Source organism: Homo sapiens, chromosome 1 (assembly GCF_000001405.40).
Source record: "Homo sapiens chromosome 1, GRCh38.p14 Primary Assembly".
NCBI lineage: Eukaryota > Metazoa > Chordata > Mammalia > Primates > Hominidae > Homo > Homo sapiens.
Genome location: NC_000001.11, coordinates 227594193 through 227617483, shown reverse-complemented (window position 1 = coordinate 227617483; position 23291 = coordinate 227594193). Strand labels below are relative to the sequence as shown.

Here is a 23291-nt window from a genome sequence, read left to right as displayed (position 1 = left end):
ACCATTTGTTAAACCAGGCCCTATCCCTCTCTTCCTCTGTCAACTGTTCATAAGGTACTCCCCATGACGGTATAGGTACTGCCTTGGAGAGAGACAGTGGTTTAGCAAGAGAAGAAACCATCTGTATTTGGGCCACTTCTTAACTTTGTTGTTTTTCAGCATCTGCTTGGACCTAATCACACACATGCTACTCTCATTTGATAATGGAGTGCTGCTATGCATGCCCAACTTAATGGCTTGATGGGTTAGACAACAACCAGGTCATCATGGTCAGGTCACATTGCATGATAACCTGGTGGCACATGGTCAAGCATTCATTTTCTACCAAGGCCTAATAGGCCAAGAACTTTCTATCAAAAGAAAAGTAGTGTTCTATGGATGATGGCAGGGCTAGCTTCACAATCCTAAAGGTTAGCATGTCATTCACTAATAGAAGCCTTGCAAAGGATCCAAAAGGCATCCTTATCTGCCATGACACCTCAAGCACCATGGGATCTGCTATCACATGGCCCAAGTGGCAGAGCACCTTGTACAGCAGCCTGGACCTGCTGCAGAGACTTCTCTTGCTCTGGACCCCACTGGGAACAGCTTTTCATGTCATTCAGCAAAACCACTTTATCTCTTCAAGCTGGCACCTATGGCCTCATGGGGGTACCCTATAATCAGCTCTCAGAGGAAGAGAAGGTTAGGGCCTAGCTTATAGATTTTTTCTGCATAATATGAATGCACCACCAAAAAATGGACAGCTGCAGCACTCCAACCCCTTTCTGAGACACCCCCGGACAGTGGTGAAGAGAAATGCAGTAACACACTCAAATGAGGAATATGCTGCCTCCCCCAAACACAAAAGGTATTGTGCCTCTTTCTGGTTTGTAGAAGGGGCCAAAGGCAAAAACACCTTTCACCTTAGAAAAATTTTTTCAACATGCTTCAGCCACTTAACTCCTACAAATTTCCCTGAGGTAGAAGGCCTCAAAAGTTCAGTCAGATTTATTTCCTACTCTCTGACACCCAAATGTCAGATTTGTTTCTGGGGAAAAATTCTGGCACAGAAAAAGAAGAATTACTGAGAAACAGCACTGGGACAGTATCAGGGAATGTCGGGAATGGGCCAGCACCTGCGGAGTCACCCTGAGCCTGAGGCCAGAGGCAAAATGTTCACCCTATATATATGCCTTTATTTCTATTTTAAGGTGTTATTTTTCTTACAGTGTATTGTGCTTGATGGTTTAGGACTGTCCTAGTTGACCAGATTCCCAAAGGGTCCTATCTCTCCTTTGGTGAAGGTAAAGGAATACAAGAAAGAGGTGGGTAAGAAAATAGGTAAACAGGTGTTCCTGAAACAGGACCACCACGGCCTCTTGGGGGAGGTCAGGTGAGAGGTGCCCAACCAGCCAGTGCAGGTGCCCTGATAAGTATGAGAGTATCCTCTAGAAGGGCACCTTGTGATGGTAAGACAGGAATTGGTGGCATCCTCAGAACAGTCTGGTGGGGACTGAACTGCATCATCAGCAGAGAGGGCATTATAGGTCCCGTGTTGCCTGAAAAATTAGGGGAGATCACAAGACCGAGGGTCAGCTGTCCAAGGGCAGACTTACCAATGGTGAGAAAAGAACAGTCAACAGATGGTAACCAGGGCTGGACTACCAAAAGTAAACTAGTAGCAGAATATCAGCAAAGGCATGACCAGCAAGTTGAAAGGCTGCCTGCCTGACATGTCACTGAAATGACCCTGTGATGGAAATTGTCAGTGACATCAATGCTGAGTAATCTGTGAATAAATCTAGAGAAGCTGCAATTTGAGGAGGGACATCAGGCCATCTGGGGAAACAAAAACCTGTAAGTACACTGGGTCTTGAAAAAACAATTGCATGGGGAAGTAAAATGAGTTAAATGGACTTGGTAGTAGGTTCGGAGTTGCTTGACTGTGAGCAATGGCAGGCTGGAGTGGGACAGGAGGACCAGGAGGACTCAGAACTAAGCAGTTAAGTCTAGAGGCACTGTGTGTGCTGGAGGTGATATCATAGGTACAAAAGCTTGATTTTGGAGGTGGCCCGATCAAGCCTGAGTTTTGGGTCTTGTCCATCCAAATGGCTGCCAAATACAACTGAGGTACCAAGTGTTTCCAAAAGGCGTAGGCTGTAGGAACAGTGAAGGAGGTGGCCTAAGAAACTGTTAAACTAAACATGACCTGAAACTACCTCTGCACTGAGCCTCTATGTGAGGAACTACATCCTGAGTATGTAAACCAACTGGAGGCCTAACTTAGGAGTATCTTTTTGTAACAAATAGCTAAGTTTCATCCAATAACAGTAGTTGAGATTCAGTAAATCACAGGCTGACAATCAGTCAGACCTTTTCTCACAAAAAATGGCAAATTCCAAGCTGTAACTAATAATTAAGATGTTTCTGTACTATAGTTCCGTTTCTGTTTTCTGTATAAATCCTCCTGCCCACACTGTGGAGCAGAGCTCTTGCCTCTTCTGGTGCTGAAGGCTGCGTAATGTGTAAATCAGTCTTTGTTCAATTAAACGCTGTTAACTTTTTCTAAGATTTTTCTTATTTAAAAAACTAGTGAAAAAACACAAGTAAAGGTTTTGCTGGGTAGCAATGTGGTCAGGGTTGGTGGGACAGTCTGTGTGGGCATTCTGGGTGCAGGACAGAGATGGTAACTGTGAGGGTATCTTTCAGCAGGTGGAATAACTGATACATGGTCTGGAAGGACATAAAGCAACCACCAGGGAAATAAGGCACACAGTCATGTGTATGAGGCAGCACCTTGCAGACTGGGAAGATCTGAGCTGGGGTCAAGGGCTAGAGGAGCGCTGAATAAGCGCTAGCCTTTATCTCTGTCATACAAAAAGAGGGGTCTGAACAAAAGCTAAGAAAAAAGGTGAGAAGGTATTTATGGAAGCCGATCTAGAAGGGAGGCTTTGCCATTTGTTGGAAGAAAGGTGATTTTTTTATAAATAGGGAAGAAGGTCTGTGACACAAGAACATCACCTGTGGTCAAGCAAGCAGTGATATTAGCTAATAGCCTTGTCACATGCAAGATGGCAGAGCCAGCAGGATAGGAGTCAAGTGGCAGCAAAGTCCGTTTTCATTTAATACGAGGAAAGACATGAGTGCCAGGGTAAAGGTGTCATAAGGTTTATGTTGCAGTAGGTATCCTGCTATTAATTGTCAGAATTCTGGCAATAAAGCAGTGGAAGCAACAAAGGGATAAAATCAAAATAAAAAGCAGCAGTCAAATCTAGAAGTAACTCTTATGGATAGCATAGTAAAAATCAATCAAGTGTGGGGCTGACAATAGGACTCTGAGTCAGCCCAGTCCAGAAGACCATAAGGAGTTTAGTCTGCAGGAGGTCTAACTGGGCCCAGCAGATGGCCTCTACATGAGGAACATGATGGTGCCATTCAAGAATTTCTAATAGAGACCATAAGTCTCAATCAGATCACAGCTCACTAGCTTTCTGATAGCAATAGCAGGAGCAAATGTCAAGGCACTCCTTCAAAGACTGGAGATGCTAATCATGTTGATATTTCAGCAGGATGAGCAGAGTCCTATTCTCAATAATCAATTGTTTTGGGTAGAATTGACTCCAGCAGTACTTGTTGGCACCAGAGAAACAGTTTTGGGCGTGGGGCTTGTGGCAGGCAAGGTACACAGTAAACACACAGGACACACAGTAGAGGACTCCAACAGGAAGGCTCCCAGTACAGAGTTTTGCAAGGGAGTCACCATGGGAGGGGTTTGCACAGGCTATCAAAGATGAGGCCCTGAATGAGAAGTGCTAACAGAAAGCAAAGGCAGAGGTTGCAATAACAAGGGTGGGGTATATCTGTTTGTGAGTTTGAAATCTTATTCAGCCAACATTAACTTATTGCTAGTCTTCAAGCTGCTGGCTCACTTTCAACCAGGGTTGATTCTGGAGTCATTTTTCAAAAGACCTAGTGAGGCAGCAATGTCGTAACTGCCACATCTCGAGGTGAAATCAAATGCACAGTGGCTGGTGGCACATCCACCCCTGTAACAGTAACTGGAAAAAGAGAAGTGCAGAGACCTTAATGAGACACCAATGCCCATGTGGTGTTGCCCAAAGTTGTGGGTAGCATCTCTGGGAGGATAAATAAGAGGAAAACGTAATCTGAGAATTGCTGTCCTGGGGCCAGGGCAATAGCTGCGGCAGTGTCAAAATCCTGTGGTCCCAAGTCAGGGTAGGCAGCTTGGCCTGAAGAATAATGCAGAAAAGTTGAAAGGTGGGTTGGCCACTGGGAATGGAGATGAGGAGTAGAGGTAGTGAGTAGCTGTAAATATGAGCTAGTACCAGAGGCAGATATTGGTGACAAGAAGGAGTCCAAAGGGAGGCTGTTTTTCAAAGTCTTCATCAGCCCATTCATACTTTCACTTAGCCCATCGCTGTCTGCTGGTATTAAAGGTGAAAGGCTCAGGTAATGCCATTCCCCAGTGCCCAATTTTGGGTGACCTTAGGTGAAAAATGGACACCCTGCTCAGACTGAGTAACATGGAGGTTCCCAAAAGGGGCCAGGACTGACACAGTCAGACACTGATGATGTTTTTGGGCTGCTAATCAACAACAAAGAACAGGAGGCAGTGCAGTGTAGGTTGTAGGTGTCACCCACAGTGGGGGCATATTTGGTGAGGCGTGCTCTTTGTTGGGGTGGGCAATAAAATGAACTTTCTGGTTGACATGTGGGTAATTATGTCACCAAAAGACAGTAAGAGACAAGAAGTCTTCTTACCAGAGCAGCCAGTTCTGGATGGCTTAAGCAACTGAGTTGAATAAAACAGAGAAGCCCCACAATAAAATCCAAGTTGATAAGATGTCTCAAAGTCAGGTGTGCCCAGGAGTAGAAAGCTATCCCAGGTACCAAAGTCTGGTCTATGAGAGTAAGGATGTAGGTAAGGTAATTTGCCTTGTCATATTGAGAGGCAGGATCTTACTGGTGTGAGTCTAGACACGGTGAATAAAAATAGACCATGTGGCACAGAAATCAGCACCGTTCCACCAAAGGGAGGCACCCCACAGTACCTGACCATGATTTTTCCAGTTTGTGACCACCACTGATTACCCATTAGTGATGGCCCCAGAATTGGTGAAGATGTGGGTTTCAGACTGGCCTTGCATGGCAGACTGCTCAACAGCCAGGAGGATGAAAAGATAACCAAGAGGAAGAGATAAGAAGGGCCCTCACTTTGAGAACCAACCTCATGACCTAGTGGAAATGGGCCATCAGTTCTGCATACTGAGTGGTCCTTTTTCTGCAGCTGGAAGGGTTTATCTGATGCCAGATGATAGATGTTGCCCATCCAGATGTGACTTGGGCACCTCTGCATGTCCATCACTAAAGTAGGTACACCCCTGCTGCAGCAGTGCAATAGCTTTCCAGCTGTTGGAAAGGACCCAGCTAGCTAAAGGCAAAATGGTCTCTGGTTGTCGATCATCTTCTGGCATGCTGGAGGGACAGAAACTGACAGTCTTGTGAAGTACAGAAACACCTGAAACTCCAGGCCTGTCTCAGTCCTGCAAGTATCCCTTCCATTTGACAAGAGATGCTTGGTAGCAGCACCTGGTTTGCTAGAATAGGGTTCTCAGATCCAAGGCACAGTGGAGATCTCTGTTTTCAGTAGATGAATTCAAATCCTGTCAGTGTCTTGGTCTCAGACAGAACTAGATAAACTGCAACCAACTGTGTCTTGAGAAGCATATATTAACCACAGGCATACACCAAAAGCCCACTGTGAGTCAAGATCCAGAGTGAGTAGTCTAAAGACTCCATGAGTCAAGCAGTATTATTATTGAAACCTATTACCTACCATTGCAAGTCCTTTCCCCATGGGACTAGTGGAAGAGCCTCCTGGACTAACCACTGGGCAGCTCTTATAGCTTCTTCTTGAGAAGAACACAGATGAAGGTGAATGTCTTGTGAGTGGCCTGATAAATGCATCTTAGAACGCATTAGAGGTGATCAATGTGTTATCTCAATAAGACACAAATGCCAACATGCTGGGCCTCTTTAGCCAAGAAAAGAACTCTGTGAGTGAGTGAGGGAGGCTGATTGTGAAGTCTGCCTGCCTTCCTTACTCTAAATATAGCCCCCAAAATTGATGGAGATGGCAGGTCCTTGAATCTTGTATAGATAGGGTGATGGCCCATCCCCATGGGTCAAGGGTTGGTTCTCAACGTAAGGGTCAATTTTACCTCTTCCTTTGGGTTATCACCCAGGACACCACCCACATAATGCCACAGGTGGAAGTCAGAGGGCAGCTAGGTCCTCTCTACACAGATCATGAGCCAGTGGAGGACTACCGAGGTAGCCCATTGGAAGCTTCATAAAAATGTATCTTTGGCCTTTAAAAGTAAAAGTGAACTGCACCTGAATTTCTCTACAAATTGAGACAAAACAAAACATGTCTGCCAGGTCAGTAACAGTAAACCAAGTTGCAGAGGAATTCTGAACTTCTTCCAAGATGGTGACAATGTCTGATGTAAGGAGATTTAAGTATAGCATTGATGAGGTTGTGGTAATCAGCAGTGAGCCTCCATTCCTTTCCCTGGCCTTGAAAAAGGGCCAGACTGGGAAGTTAAAAGGTTAAGAAAGTGGTTTCAGAAAACCCCCCTTCTATCATGTCATATGTAACAGGATGAATCCCTTCTATGCCCTACTTGAGTGGATATTATAGGGTGTTGATCACCTTAGGGGGGTTGGAAAGCTGTACCGGTTTCTTGTTGGATTGTACAGTCATCAGTACAAAAGACTTGGGCTTGGTCCAGGTGGGGATCCAAGGCACCAGAATGTCCAGGCCAATGACAGGAAATAGTCACTGAGAGGTGACTGGAAGTAACACCAGAGCTTGTGAAAAAATGATGGGTCCTCCCTTAATGATGACCCTGGCAGGTATTCTAAAGGCTTGTTCTCCTCCAAGTCCATTCATGGGCACAACAAGACTGGTGAACTACACTGGGTATGTGGAAATCAGAGTAACCTATGATCAGTGTGAAATTAGGCCATAAATGCCCATGGGTTTTAGGGCACACACTTCCGGATTTAAAACTACACTAACAAAGCTATAGTAATCAAAACAAGTAAGGTATTGAACTACTATATATGTAGGTTTTTGTTTATCTTGTTTTCTGGCTACCACGAAAGTATGTGGAAATATTATTCTCTGCTATTTATTAAATCCTTGTAACGTTATTGACTAACTTAGTGATGATAGGGGCTGGAAATATTCACCATGAGCTTAAACATATTTATTAGTAGTACGTCAGGTTTTCTATTTTTAGGGGACAGTCTCCATTTGAAAAAGTAGAATAAGAGCTCCCTAGGTCTTCTGTATAAACTCATACTTATTAGAACACTCTGTATGTTACTTTGTGTGAGATTTGTTTTCTAATGAGAGAAAAACTTTTTAAAAAGTGAAGGAGGGTCGAGCGCGGTGGCTCACACCTGTAATCTGAGCACTTTGGGAAGCGGAGGCGGGCAGATCACGAGGTCAGGAAATCGAGACCATCCTGGCTAACAAGGTGAAACCCTGTCTGTACTAAAAATACAAAAAATTAGCTGGGCGTGGTGGCACGCGCCTGTAGTCCCAGCTACTCAGGAGGCTGAGGCAGGAAAATCGCTTGAACCTGGGAGGCAGAGGTTGCAGTGAGCCGAGATCTTGCCACTGCACTCCAGCCTGGGTGACGGAGTGAGGCTCTGTCTCAAAGAGAAAAAAAAAAAAGTGAAGGAAATGGTGTTCCATTTTCAAAGATAATCCTGTTAGTATTTTTGCTGTTTAAAGGTTTCAAATATTGATGTTGGATTAAAATATATATTCACAAAAAGTTACAAGTAAATTTTAATGTAGTTATTGAATCGTCACAAATTTTATGGTAAAATCAGCATTCAATAAACCTATTGTTATGAAGTATCTACGTATTTTAAAACAGAGGGGAGCAACACACATTGGGGCCTATTGGAGGGTGGAGAATTGGAGGAGCGAGAGGATTTAAATAAATAACTAATAGGTACTAGCCATCTGTATTCATATTTCTATTTCATCGTTCCTCTGTAATGCATTTTGGCAGCTAAATCTTACAGTTCACTAATCCTCTCATTAACTTATTTTTATGTTTTGCCTGTGCATTGTATATTAACTTTATTATATTTTTCAAATGTTTATATTTGGTTTAGTTCTTTTCCAAATATGGCTTATAAAGTTTGTTTTTCCTTGATCTTTATGCATTAATGTTTTGACTGTGCATTGTATATTAACTTTATTTTATTTTTCAAATGTTTATATTTGGTTTAGTTCTTTTCCAAGTATGGCTTATAAAGTTTGTTGCTCCTTGATCTTTACATATCACTTCAATTTCCCATTTTTTCCTTTATATACATTTAAATATTTTAAAAATTTTAGTATTTGACGTTTTGGAAATATCTAGTTTTTCTGAACCTTTATTCTGGTGGTTGATTTCCTATGTGGCTTATAAATTCTAATTTGGAATACCTTAATTCTTGTCAAGAGTCCAGTTTTTACGTGTCTTTGTTTTATTCAAATTTACCTGAGGGCAAGTCTGAGGACTCATACAGGTTTGATGATCACAAGATCATCAACTGTCCTGAGGGCAGTAACTGCATCTCTGTTTGATTCCTTTTCTAGATCCTTCTCTAGATTTACTTTTCCTTCTTGAAGTTTCTGCATTTTTCCTTCAACTCTACCGGGCATTTTAAGTGCTCTTATAACATCCTGAGCATTTTCGGTTGTTGCCTTAGAAGAAACTTGCTGTTATATAGAATATTATTCCCAAAAAATACATAAGTAAAATATTTCAGATAGATATTTTGTGGCTGACAATAGAGCCTCATGAGAAATCTCAAGTTTCTTATTCAAGAATAGCTTCTGAACCCAACAGTGTACCATATATTAGTAATAATTTGTAGAATGTGATGATTTTTAATATGTAAATAATTTTATGTGTTTAAGAAATTTCTATACGTATCATTTGCCAAATAATTTTCAATATTCAAAAAATAATTTTATGTGTTGAATAAATTTGTAAAGACATCATTCTCTACTTTACTGAATATGACCCAAATGAGTATTTATTTACCTATTTTAAGATAGCTTTGTTGAATTAACTGGATTCCAATCACCATGCTTCCTTCTTAGTACTCACCTAATCCTTAAAAAAAAAATCAGTTGGAATTTTCTACTTAACCCAAATGCTATTTTAAGTAACCTCAAATTATATGTGTATGTGGCTAGATGGCTAGATAATACTTTTTGGTTACAATTTACAATTTTAACTGGTACATTTTATTGTTATTCACAGAAAATGCAACCTGTAGGAGTTCTGCTTTCATAATATTATTTATACTTTTGGAGCCTTAAACTTTAAAGTTTTAAAGATTTTTTTTTAAGTAATCAAAAATAATCTGTATACTCTGGTTACCACAATAATTGTTGTTCATGTGTCTATCTTTCTAACTAATCAATGTTTCTAATAAAGTTAGTTAACATTTGTTGTGTCAATTTTTCCTATATACTAAAACAAATTATTTTATAATAGTTTTAATGTCCCCTATGAAAACTATAACTGTGCCAATTTATTTTCTGAATGAACGTATGTGCTATATATAACTAAATATATATTTGAATATATAACTAAATAATATAGCATATATTATAAATTAATACATATACAATATATAATAAATGTATATTATAAAATAAATATATAAAATACATATTATAAAATATAAATATATTTAAATATATAACTATTTAAAATTATATATAGTTATTTTAAATAGCTATATATTTAAGACGTACATGTAAGTGGCTTGGAAATATACATACTCTGTGCTATGTAAGTGTTAACCACTGATTCGTCAAATGATCAACCACTGATATCATTCTTTACTTACAATGTTATTTTGTATTTTTCTCATTACAAGTTACATTTCCTGTGTTATCTAAATACTGACACCAAAGAGGACAGTAGGCTGCCAGCCATCATTTGATAAAACTTAAAGTCAAATGACATAATCTTCTAGTTTATTTTAGGTGCATTTTTGTCTTATGCAAAATGACATGTCTGAGTGGTAGGTATGAAGTTGTAGCCTTGTTTTATTTTCTACAAAGACCCTCAGAAAGAGGGTATTAACAGACAGCCTCAAAGCCTCATTTTTTCACATTATTTTAAAATATCAACTGCCATGAGAATCTAGAGACACAGAACATTAGAAACTATAGACAAACGTATATGAAGACAAAAATTATAAAAACAAATTCTAGACAAAACAGGATGTGTTAATAGACTTCTAATAAATAAAGAGATTAAATCAATTAAAAATCATCATGTATAGAGTATCTCAGATCTGGATGGCATCACTGATAATTCTGCCAAATTTTTTGGAGAATTAATATCAACCCTTCCCAAATACTTTCTGTGGGGAAAAGAAAGATCAGATTGTTACTGTGTCTATGTAGAAAAGGAAGACATAAGAAACTTCATTTTTATCTGTACAAAGAAAAATTGTTCTGCTTTGAGATGCTGTTAATCTGTAACTTTAGCCCCAACCCCGTGCTCACAGAAACATGTGCTGTACTGAATCAAGGTTTAAGGGATTTGGGGCTGTGCAGGGTGTGCCTTGTTAACAATATGTCTGCAGACAGTATGCTTGGTAAAAGTCATTGCCATTCTCCATTCTCTATTAACCAGGGACACGATGCACTGCAGAAAGCCGCAGGGACCTCTGCCCAAGAAAGGCTGGGTATTGTCCAAGGTTTCCCCGCCACTGAGACAGCCTGAGATATGGCCTCGTGGGAAGGGAAAGACCTTACTGTTCCCCAGCCCAACACCCGTAAAGGGTCTGTGCTGAGGAGGATTAGTAAAAGAGGAAGGCCTCTTTGCGGCTGAAATAAGAGGAAGGCCTCTGATTCCGGCATGTCCCTGGGAATGGAATGTCTCCGTGTAAAGCCGACCATTTGTTCTATTCTGAGATAGGAGAAAACCGCCCTGTGGCTGGAGGCAAGATATGCTAGTGGTGATACTGCTCTGTTACTCTTTGCTACACTGAGATGTTTGGGTAAAGAGAAACACAAATCTAGCCTATGTGTACATCCGGGCACAGTACGTTCCCTTGAACTTATTTATGATGCAGATTCCTTTACTCACATGTTTTCCTGCTGACCTTCTCCCCACCATCACCCTATTCACCCCGTTCTCCTGCCACACTCCCCTTGGAGAGATAGTGAAAATGGTAATCAATAAATACTGAGGGAACTCGGAGACCGGCACCGGTGCAGGTCCTTGCATGCTGAGTGTGCCAGTCCCCTGGGCCCCCTGTTCTTTCTCTATACTTTGTCTCTGTGTCTTATTTCTTTTCTCAGTCTCTTGTCCCACCGGTGAGATGAGAAATACCCACCGGTGTGGAGGGGCAGGCCCCCTTCACTTTCAATAAAAAGGAGATAATAAATAACATATAAAAAGAGTTATACACCTTGACCAAGTGGGATTGTTTCAAAAACATGTAGTTATAACATCTAGAGAACAATTAATTTATCCATTTATGCTTATACTTCCACAAGTTTCCCCAATTTGTGTGTGTGTGTTTTATAAGTACACTTAACATGGCTATATTTATTATTCTCATAGTGGTGAAGTGTCACAGGAATATATCCAGTCTCATGAAATTGAGTATATTGAGCTTGACATTTTTTGTTTATCAAATATTTTAATAAAGCTGTTAATAATATCCATAAAATGTATCATAATAAAATAAAGATCAAGATGTGATAACATCATTGACAGAAAAAAATTTTGGCTAAATGTACTTTATGATTGTAATCCTAAACAAACTAGGAATTGAGGAGAACTTCCACAACCTGTTAAAGGGCACCTATATAAAATGTACGGTAAATATTACTTAGTGAAAAAAATGTTTCCTCCATAACATTGGGAACAAGACAAATATTCACTTTTGCCACATCTATTAAATATTGTCCTGGAAAATTTTGCTTTAAAAGTCATATACGAAAAGATAAAGAAAGTGACTCTACATTGTCTGAGTAAAATTCTTTTAATTTCTGAGACATTATTTCATATATAAAAGAAATCCTGAGGAGCTGTCTAAAACCTCAAAGAAATAAGTTTAGCAATGTTGCAGACTATGAGGTGAAGATACAAATATTAACTGTATTTCTGTACACTAGCTATGAACTTTCTGAAAATACAACAAAGAAAACTATATCATTCAAAATAAAACCAAATAAAAACTCTAAAGAGAAAAACCTTTTAAAAAAGTGCTAACTGGGCCAGGCGCAGTGGCTCACGCCTGTAATCCCAGCACTTTGGGAGGCCGAGGCGGGCGGATCCCAAGGTCAGGAGCTCGAAACCATCCTGGCTAACATGGTGAAACCCGGTCTCTACTAAAAATACAAAAAATTAGTTGGGCGTGGTGGTGGGCCCCTGTAGTCCCAGCTAATTGGGAGGCTGAGCCAGGAGAATGGCATGAACCTGGGAGGCGGAGCTTGCAGTGAGCGGAGATTGCACCACTGCACTTCAGCCTGGGCGACAAAACGAAATTCCATCTAAAAAATAAAATAAAATAAAAGTGCTAACTGAAAAAGAAGGTAATAAAAAGATAAAAACACATTTTTTAAAAGGTAATTTTAATGAACATTTTGTCACTGTCAAAAATATATATAAATTGTAAGTAAGTATATAAAACTACACTTAACATTAGTCATTAGAAAAATGCTAATCAAAACTTCAGGGAGGCCGGGTGCAGTGATTCATGCGTGTAAGCCCAGCACTTTGAGAGGCAGAGGTGGGTGGATCACTTGAGCCCGGGAGTTTGAGATCAGCTGTGCAACATGGTGAAATCCCATCTCTACTAAAAAATACAAAAATTAGCCAAGCATGGTGGGTGGTACATCCTGTAGTCCCAGCTACTCAGGTGGCTGAGGCAGGAAGATCATTTGAGATTGGGAGGTGGAGGCAGCAGTGAGCCATAAGCATGCCATTGCACTCCAGCCTGGGTCCCCAAGTGAAGCCCTGTCTCAAAAAAATAACCCTCAGGGAGATATCCCTTCTTATGCAGTAGAATGATTTAACAACAAACAAAAGTAAGCATTGGCAGAGATGTAAACATAGAACCCTCACAAACTGCTGATAAAACTGTAAAACAGCACAGCCGCTTTACAAAACAATTTGGTAGTTTCTCGAAATGTTTAACATGGAATTACCATATTGGTGCATCAGCTCCACTCTCACTCATGTGCCCAAAAGAGATGAAAATGTTGGTTCACACAAAGACTCACTGGAACATTGTTTGTTATAACCAAATATGAAAAATGGAAATACTCAAATGTCAAAATGTCAACCAGTTAATATAAGGAAAAACAGTTAAGTACATTTTATATTGGAATCCTATTTGGCCATCAAAATGAATTAAATAATGCTACATGCTACAACAGATATGAACCTCAAACAAACTAATAGAAACCAGAAGCAAAAGACTGATAATGTATGGTTCCAATTATACAAGACATGTCCAGAAAGTGAATGTCTACAGATAGAATGGAGATTAATGGTTGTGTAACACTAAGATGAGAATGAGAAGTAGCCTCAAATTGCATTAAGTTTTGGGGGAGTTAATGGAATCAGGCTTCTAAGAGGCACTTGAAGTCCACTGAATACATCCTAGAAGCTCAAGGTTAGTGGCTGCCACTTACTGCTTTGTCAACAGACCTGGAGCACCCACAAGAGCTCAAGTGGACAAGGCACCAGTCCACATCTTCCCACAGCTGGCATGAAGCAGCAGAAGGGGGCTGGGTTGGGGTGCCAAGACCCTGGAGCCCATGAGCAATGGCGGGTGAGGAATCAGATGACTCCCTACATACTAGCAGGACTACAGCACCTGGAGTCGGGCCCAGTGGGTCACACTGGGGTGGCCAGATACACCTGAGGCTGCCAAGTACACTGTCCCAAGTCAGCAGTCCTCCTCTGTGCTGGTGGCAAATAGCATCTACATGCCAAGTTTGAAAGTGAACCCTCATTCTATGGTAGTAAAACAAGTAACACAGTGGCAGGGCATCTGAGTACCCCATACAAATAAAGGCGAACCACCTAGCACTTCCCCCAACCTGGCAACAGAAAGTAGCAAAATAGATTCATCCTTCCAGGGATTGTACCTGATTCCTCTGAAAACAATGCAACATTCCCCCCGCCCCATGCCCATCATGACGTGGGAGGAACAGATTTGGAGCTCTGGAGACAATTAGCTGCCTGTGGAGCTGCTCTTTCTCCTCACAAAGCCTGAGACTTCATTCACACGTGGAGATGCTGAGGCAGCCAGGCAGTACCTGCAAGAGGGAACCCGGCACAACCAGCAGCAGCCCATTCCAGGAAGATGCACATGCTTGTATGGGTCACAAGTTATGTTTTACTTTCCTCCCCTCCAGGAGATCTTGGTATGTTGCCCAGGCTGGGGCACAGTGGCTACTTACAGGTACAATCATCACACATTATAGCCTTGAACTCCTGAGCTCAAGCAATTCTCATACCTCAGCCTCTAAAGAAGCTGGAATTACAGGTACATGCAACTCTGCCTGGATCAAAAAGCATTCTTTAAAGTGTAACCAACAAGTACTATTCAGCCATATGCAAACTTCATTTAAGACCTTTTTAAGTTAACACCTGGTTTAAATGAAATATTCAAACTGATATTTTTGCACAGTCAGGAAAGTGCTAGGAGGAGGAAGGATGCTTAGAGCCCAATACCTAAAATAATTCTACCAATTCTAGCCTTTGTTATAAACAAACAGTAATTCTGGCTATATTCAGATACTATTTCTGCAGTGAAGCACTATTATTTCAACAATTTACACAAAACATAAATTTTCAAGTACTAAAAATAATTGCACTCTACGAATTACTGTTATCTTATGGTATATAGGATAGGGTGTGTGGTCCAAATAAGAGACTTGAAATCTCTGATGAAACACTACTGTCTGTCCAAAAAAAATTGTGAAATATTTTACTTATGTGTACAATGTGGATATTTGTGCTTCTGAAAAGTACTGTATATTACACAAATTTTTAATGCATACAACTAAAAATTCTCAAAAATTTTACTTGTCACAGTAAACATAAATTTTAACTGATAAGTAATTTGAAACTTTCAGAGAAAACAGCAGGATTTTTATTTTAATAATCTGGCAAATTATCAAATTCAGCAATTATTATCTCATTACTAATCTGTCTCTGCCAAACTGATAAGCAGAAAACTTTATATAAGTTTTTGTTTTGTTATTGAAAACCAGCAGAAGACAAAGATGCTCTCTAACCACTCCTATTCAACATAGTATTGGAAGTCCTGGCCAGAACATTAAGCAAGAGAAAGAAATAAAGGACATCCAAGTAAGAAGAGAGGAAGTCATGTTATCCCTGTTTGCAGATGATATGATTCTATATCTAGAAAACCCCATAGCCTTGACTCAGAAGCTCCTTAAGGTTATAAACAACTTCAGCAAAGTCTCAAAACACAAAATCAATGTACAAAAATTACTAGCATTTCTATACACCAAAAATTATAAAGCCAAGCCAGGCATGGTGGCTCACACCTGTAATCCCAGCACTTTGGGAGGCTGAGGCAGGCAGGTCACGAGGTCAGAAGTTCAAGACCAGCCTGACCAACATGGTGAAACCCCGTCTCTACTAAAAATACAAAAATTAGCCAGGCGTGTTGGCACATGCCTGTAATCCCAGCTACTCGGGAGGCTGAGGCAGGAGAATCGCTTGAACCTGGGAGGTGGAGGTTGCAATGAGCCAAGATTGCACCACTGCACTTCAGCCTGGCCAGCAGAGTGAGACTCCGTCTCAAAAAAAATAAAATAAAAATAAATAAATAAAATTATAAAGCCAACAGCCAAATCAGGAATGGAATCCCATTCACAATTGTCACAAGAAAAAGAAAAAAAAAAAGAAAAACCTAGAAATACAGCTAACCAAGAAGGTCAAAGAGCTCTACAATGAGAACTACAAACACTGCTCAAATAAAAATCAGAGATGACACAAACAAATTTTAAAAATTCCAAGGTCATGCATTTAAAAAAATCAGTATTATTAAAATGGTCATACTGCCCGAAGCAATTTACAGATTCAATGCTATTCCTAACAAACTAGCAATGACATTCTTCACAGAACTTTTTTTTAAAAAAGACTGAATAGCCATGAAAATCCAAAGCAAAAATAACAATGCTGGAAGTATCACACTACCTGACTTCAAACTATACTACAGGGCTACAGTAACCAAAGTGGCATGGTACTGATACAAAAACAGAAACATAGACACATGAAACAGCATAGAGAGCCCAGACACCCACAACCATCTGATCTTTGACAAAGCTTAAAAAAACATGCAATGAATAAAGAACTTCCAATTTAATAAATGATGCTGGGAGAACTGGCTAGCCATATGCAGAAGATTGAAACGGGACCCCTTCTTTAAACCATACACAAAACTCAAGATGAATCAAAGACTAAAATGTAAAATCCATAACTAAACCCTGGTATACAACCTAGTACCATCCTGGACATACAGACAGGCAAAGATTTCATGACGAAGATGCCAAAAGCAATTGCACTGAAAGGAAAAACTGGCAAATGGGGTCTAATTAAACTAAAGAGCTTCTGTACAGCAAAAGATACTACTGACAGAGTAAACAGACAACATACAGAATGGGAGAGAATTTCTGCAAACTATGTATCTGACAAACGTCTCATATTCAACATCTATATGGAACTTAAACAAATCTAAAAGAAAAAAACAACTCCATTAAAAAGTGGGCAAAGGACAAGAACACTTTTCAAAAAAAAGATATACATGCAGCCAACAATCATTTTTAAAAAGCTCAACATAACTGATTAGAGAAATGCAAATCAAAACCACAATGAGATATCATCTCACACCAGTTGGAATGGCTATTACTAAAAAGTCAGAAAATAACAAAACAAAACAAAACGCTTATACACTGTTGGTAGGACTGTAAATTTGTTCAAACATTGTGGAACACAGTGTGGTGATTTCACAAAGACTGAAAAAAAGAACTGCCATTTGACCCAGCAATCCCATTACTGGGTAAATACCCAAAGAAATATAAATCATTCTATCATAAAGACACATGCACACTTATGTTCACTGCAGCACTATTTACAATAGCAAAGACATAGAATCAACCTAAATGCCCATAAATGGTAGACTGGATAAAGAAAATTAGGTACCTATATGCCATGTAATACTATGCAGCCATTAAAAAAAAATGAGATCATGTCCTTCACAGAAGCATGGGTGGAGTGGGAGGCCATTATTATTAGCTACTAATGCAGGAACAGAAAACCAAATATTGCATTTCCCTAAGGGAGAACTAAATGAGAACACACGGACACATAGAAGGGAACAACAGACATGGGGTGCCTACTGGAGGGTAGACAGCAAAAGGATGGAGAGAATCAGAAAAATAACTAATGCGTACTAAGCTTAATACCTGGGTAATGAAATAATCTGTACAACCAACCAACCCCCATTACACGAGTTTACCTATATAACAAACCTGCACATGTACCCCGTGCTTGAAATAAAAAAATAAAGAAAAAATAATAAAGCTGAATTTATTTTTAAGAAGGTGTATACAATCACGCTGAATATTAAAGCAACATTCATGTACGGTGTTTATTAATTCTTCAAAGATTTGATAAACAACAGAAAGTTCTATTTTCAGATATTATATGGTAGCCGGGAAAAAAAAATTCTCTAATAGCAACTACTATGGCATAATAAAACTAAATGGTCTTCATAGTAATCTAAAATCTAATTAATACAAAATGTAAAATAATCTCATATTTTATGACATAATTTTAATCAGTCTTAAAATATTATAAATACACTAAAGTGCCTCCAAACTTAAAAAAAAGTATAACTCAGTCATTCTGAATTTAGATATCTGTTGCTTTCAAAGATAAAATTTCACCTAATTACATACAGTATTTAAAAGAAAATTATAGGGGAGGCGGCAGGAGGACCTGCAGTGGGCCTGCTTCGGCCTTCTCTCTGGCCTGGTTTCCCTCAGCGTGCGACTGTGCACTCAGCCCAGCACCATGGGGAAGTGGGACAACCGCGTGGTACTGCCAAAATTATGACATGATACCAACGGAATTAGAATGTGATCAATACTGTTAAAAACAAAAACAAAAACCTGAAACCAGTTAAATTTAACAAAGGTTATTTGAACAAGAAAATGATTCTAGAACTGGAGGAATATGTTCTACATCCTGGCCTATATAAACCCAATAGCAATGGCGAGATCAAGGGGTCCAATCCAGTCTTCAGGGCCAACAATACAGGATTATTTGAATCGACCAAGGCCTACCTGGGAAGAAGTAAAAGAGCAACTAGAAGAGGAGAAAAGAAAGGCTCCAAGGTTTTGGCTGAATTTGAAGAAAAAAATGAATGAGAACTGGAAGAAAGAACTAGAAAGAGACAGGGAGAAATTGTTAAGTGGAAGTGAGAGCTCATCAAAACAAAAAAAGAAAAGAATAAATTTGGTAGGTATTCATCTTCTTCTTCATTAAGCTCTAATTCTTCCAGCAGTTCTTCTGATTGTGAAAATGAGGATAAGAAACAAGGAAAACAGAGAAAGAAAAAGAACCGTTGACATAAATCTTCTGAAAGCTCCATGTCATAATCTGAATCAGACAGTAAGGATAGTTTAAAAAAGAAAAAGAAGTCAAAAGATGCAACGGAGAAAGAAAAGGACATTAAAGGGCTCAGCAAAAAGAGAACGATAAATTCTTAAGATAAACCTTTATCATCCAAGTCCTTGTCAGAATCACAGTTTACTGAGGAGGTACGAGCAAAAAAGAAGAAAAGCAGTGAAAAATGAGAAAAAGCAACAGAAAAAAAACAAAAAAAGAAAAAGAAGCATAAGAAACATAGTAAGAAGAAAAAGAAGGCTGCTAGTTCAAGTCCTGACTCACCATAACATTAAGAAAAATCAGGATTCCCTTATAAAGAAAGTGCAATGTCTGAGGAAATTTCAACTGTGAAAACTACAACATATTTACTAAAATCCACGAATTTTCTTGTGTTTAGAATTATTCCTGGACTATTCAGTAGCCACTCAGATGCCACTGTGTGAAAGGGCCACAAATGTTGCCTGCCGCTTGAACATCTGTTTTTTTCTCTTCCAGTGCTTGATAATTCTGGGAGATAATACTCTGCAGTCAGACTAGTGGTTATTTGGGAATAAAATTAATACTTTTAGCTAGAAGTGTCCTAGGATAAACCAACAGAAATTGAATCTGGATACATCTTTGAGATGTAGTCAGAAATGACCAGATGACTCTAGTTAAAATTTTTGGAGGAGGGATTACATTAATATTTCAAAACCCTTACTCTGTAGAGAAGCATATTTTAATTTTTTCCCCTCGTATACTTTTATTTACCTGGGGAAGGAGCTTTTAGGGTTGCGGAGCTGGTTTGCTATCTCTTTAGCTAGCAGAATAGTGTGCCTTTGATCCTCACACATCCTGTATTGTGGACATAGTAGCCACACTTCACTGAGAGGTCAGAGCTGGGTACCAGCAGTCTTGCCCTTTACTGAGCTTAGTGTCATCCTTTACTGAGCTTAGTGTCATCCTTTAATTTTCTTTTTTATTTTTATTAAGTAAAATAGCTATTTATTCAGCCTGTTGTCATGCCAATATGTTCTGTCATATGCTGCTTTGAGTGAACCAGAGAAACAGCCATTTGCAGCATGAGAAAGCCCCAAAAGCTCTGGGATTTACCTCCACTTCAATAATAATGAATATTTTTTAGCATTAGAATGTGCTATGTCATTTGAATTAATTTTGATTACACTTTGGCTTGGGAGAGGAATTATTTTAAATAGACACTGGTACTTTTTGAACTTGATAGCTGAAGATTCTAAAACGCATGTTTTATACTAAGTTTTATGTTGGGAATAGGACCCCCAAAATCTGGCCATAAACTGGCCCCAAAACTGGCCAAAAATAAACTCTCTGCAACACTGTGACACGTTCGTGATGGCTATGACGCCCACGCTGGAAGGTTGTGGGTTTACCGGAATGAGGGCAAGGAACACCTGGCCCACCCAGGGCAGAAAACCACTTAAACGCCTTCTTAAACCACAAACAATAGCACGAGCTATCTGTGCCTTAAGGACATGCTCCTGCTGCAGATAACTAGCCAAACCCATCCATTTTGGCCCACCCCTTTGTTTCCAATAAGGAATAATTTTAGTTAATCTATAATCTATAGAAACAAAGCTTATCACTGACACCAGTAATCAGAATGAGGCAGGATTTTCTCAATGAAGTGGTAGGAGAATTTTATTCTTTAATTTCAGTTATATCTTAATTATGTCTAAATACAGTAGATGTTTTCAGAAGGGTATTAATTTCAGGAATTCAAAGAAAAAACTAGATTTTAGAAAAAACTTTTATTATGTGCTGTTGAATTTGGACTTTGTGTTTGATATTCCTTATTTTATAATTTTCTTTTTTCATTTTTATTAAGTAAAATAGCTATTTATTCAGCCTGTTGTCATGCCAATATGTTCTGTGCATATACCACTATATTTAGCACATCCTTTGTAACAGGCAAAATTGTACATCAAGTTATATTTCATGTTACCTGATTGTATAAAAATGTAAAATGAAAATGAATTATTAATTTATTTTAACATTCCTAGTAAAGAATTCAGCAGAAATAAGACTGCACACCTACAGCTAAGGGAGGAGACCACCCCTCTTATTGTCTTATGCCCAATTTCTGCCTCCAAAGAAAGAAGAAGTAAAAACTAAAAGGCAGAAATGAAATCCACAGGCAGACAGCCCGGCACCAGGCTCTGGGTGTGGTAGTTAAAGATAGACACCTGACCCAACTGGTTATGTTATCTATAGATTCCAGACATTGTATGGAAGAGCATTGTAAAAATCCCTGTCCTGTTCTGTTTCGTTCTGATTACTGGTGAGCCCTTAAAAGGGACAGGAATTGCTCACTCAGGGAGCTCGGCTCTTCAGACAGGAGTCTTGCCAATGCTCCTGGTTGAATAAACCTCTTCCTTCTTTAACTCAGTGTCTGAGGAGTTTTGTCTTAGGTTCGTCCTGCTATATTTCTTGGTTCCCTGACTGGGAAGTGAGGTGATTGGCGGATGGTTGCGGCAGCTCCTTATGCAGCTTAAGCCTGCCCTGTGGAACATCCCTGCGGGGGACTCCAACCAGCCCAAGCAACGCAGATCCTGAGAGTGCTCCCGGGTAGGCATTTGCCCTGGTGGGATGCCTCACCAGAGCAGTGTGTGGCAGGCTCCCATGGAGGATCAATGCAGTGGCTAAACACCGGGAAGGAACTAGTACTTGGAGTCCGGACATCTGAAACTTGGTAAGACTAGTCTCGAGAACTTGCCCACTCCATTTGAGTGGAAGCATGGACTGATCACCCACAGCGTGCCTTTATCTGCACTTTGGTTTTGGTTTTGGTTTTGACTTGGTTTAAATTGCTTGACAGGACTGGTCTTGGGAACTTGCCTACTCCATTTGAGTGGAAGCGTGGCCTGATCACCCACGGTGTGCCTGTACCAGCACTCTGGTTTTTGTTTTTGACTTGACTTGGATTGTTTGATACTTTGGTTTTGGTTTTGACCTGGCTTGGATTTCTGGATACTCTGATTTTGGTTTTGATTTTGGTTTGGTGTAAACTGCAAAAGTGTGTGTGTGCCCTTTTTACCCGTTCTTTGTTTTGTGGTGTGCGTGTGGTTTGAGCATGGTGTTTTGTCTCGAAGAAGCATGGGTCAGGCACAAATAAGCCCACCCTACTAGGAACTATGTTAAAAAATTTCAAAAAAGGATTTAAAGGAGACTATGGAGTACTATGACACCAGGAAAATGTAAAACTTTGTGTAAAACAGACTGGCCAGCATTAGAGGTGGATTGGCCATCAGAAAGAAGCCTGGATAGGTCCCTTGTTTCAAAGGTATGGCACAAGGTAACCTGTAAAGCCAGGGCACCCAGACCAGTTCCCTTACACAGATGCTTGGTTACAGCTGGTTTTAGATCTCTCCACAGTGGTTGAGAGAACTGCAGCATAAGCCAGGCTGAGAGAGAGAGAGAGAGAGACAGAGAAGAGAGAGGAAGAGACAGAGGCAAAAGGAAAGTCAAAGAGAGAGAGACAAAGTCAAAGACAGAAAGAAAGAGAGAGAGATATATACAAGTAGCTAAGAAAAAAAAAAACAGCGTACCTTATTCCTTTAAAAGCAAAGGTAAATTTAAAACCTGTAATTGATAATTGAAGGTATTCTCCGTAACCCTATAACACTCCAATACCACTTTGTTGTCACTGTAAACAAGGGCGTATCCCGAAAGCACTGAGGCTTTCCTATCAAAAGTCCTTAACCCAGTAATCCACAGATGGCCCAAATGCATTCGATCTGTAGCAGCAACTGCTTTGCTAACAGAAAAACAGTAAAAAAAATAACTTTTAGAGGAAACCTCATTGTGAGCACACCTCACCAGTTCAGAAGTAACCTAAGGAAAAAAGGGGGGGGCGGAATTTATGTAAAAAGAGTATTATATGGTAAACTCTTGTCCTGAAATAAATTAACTAGCTGTTTAAAGAAACAAATATTTGTAATAAGTCAGAAAGTTGAGGCATGTCAAAGAATTGTCTGCAAAAGTCGTGAAAGAGGAAAATGTTATAGAAAAACACTTTATGTGCAAGATGTATAAGGAAAGTAAAATATACCTCTGGTAAAAGAATTATAAGGAGGCATAAGACTATAAATTTTTACCTACATCAAAAGGTTAAAAATATGTATACTTTGTTTTAAAGGTTTAATCAAGTTTTAAAATGTTAATTGGAAAGAAAATTCTGTGTGTAAACACTGGCTAAAGTTAAAGAGGTATCATCCAGTTTTTCTGTAAACTGGACATTAAAATAAAAGCACAGCAGGTTTTTCTTAAAGCACCAACCTGCTCTTTAACAAAAATTATGAAAGGTTAAAAAGAGTCCATAAAATCTTACCTTATGGTCAAACATTAACAATTGGATAAATACGTCTATCAGGTTTTATTAAAATTAGGTTTAACATTAATAACACACTAATACAAAGGTAAAATTTAGCTTATCTGGTATAAAAATCATACAAAAAGCATTGTTAAATGTAAAATGGTATCTGGCTTTCTTTGGTTTAAAAA

At 39.4% G+C, this 23291-nt stretch overlaps 1 protein-coding gene and 1 pseudogene across 5 annotated transcripts in view, besides 1 other annotated feature; one reads left to right on the top strand and one right to left on the bottom strand.

Annotated features, from left to right (window-relative positions):
* Positions 1 to 23291, bottom strand: part of ZNF678 (zinc finger protein 678) — a 116114-nt gene that overhangs the window by 62186 nt on the left and 30637 nt on the right. The gene's annotated exons all lie outside the window — the stretch shown is intronic.
* FAM133FP (family with sequence similarity 133 member F, pseudogene) lies at positions 18351 to 19054 on the top strand (annotated as a pseudogene).
* Positions 20190 to 20390: a silencer, noted in NCBI's record as "peak744 fragment used in MPRA reporter construct". NCBI's record gives its function as "represses an SCP1 promoter by STARR-seq MPRAs in K562 erythroleukemia cells {active_cell/tissue: K562}" and the evidence as "EXISTENCE:reporter gene assay evidence [ECO:0000049][PMID:32103011]".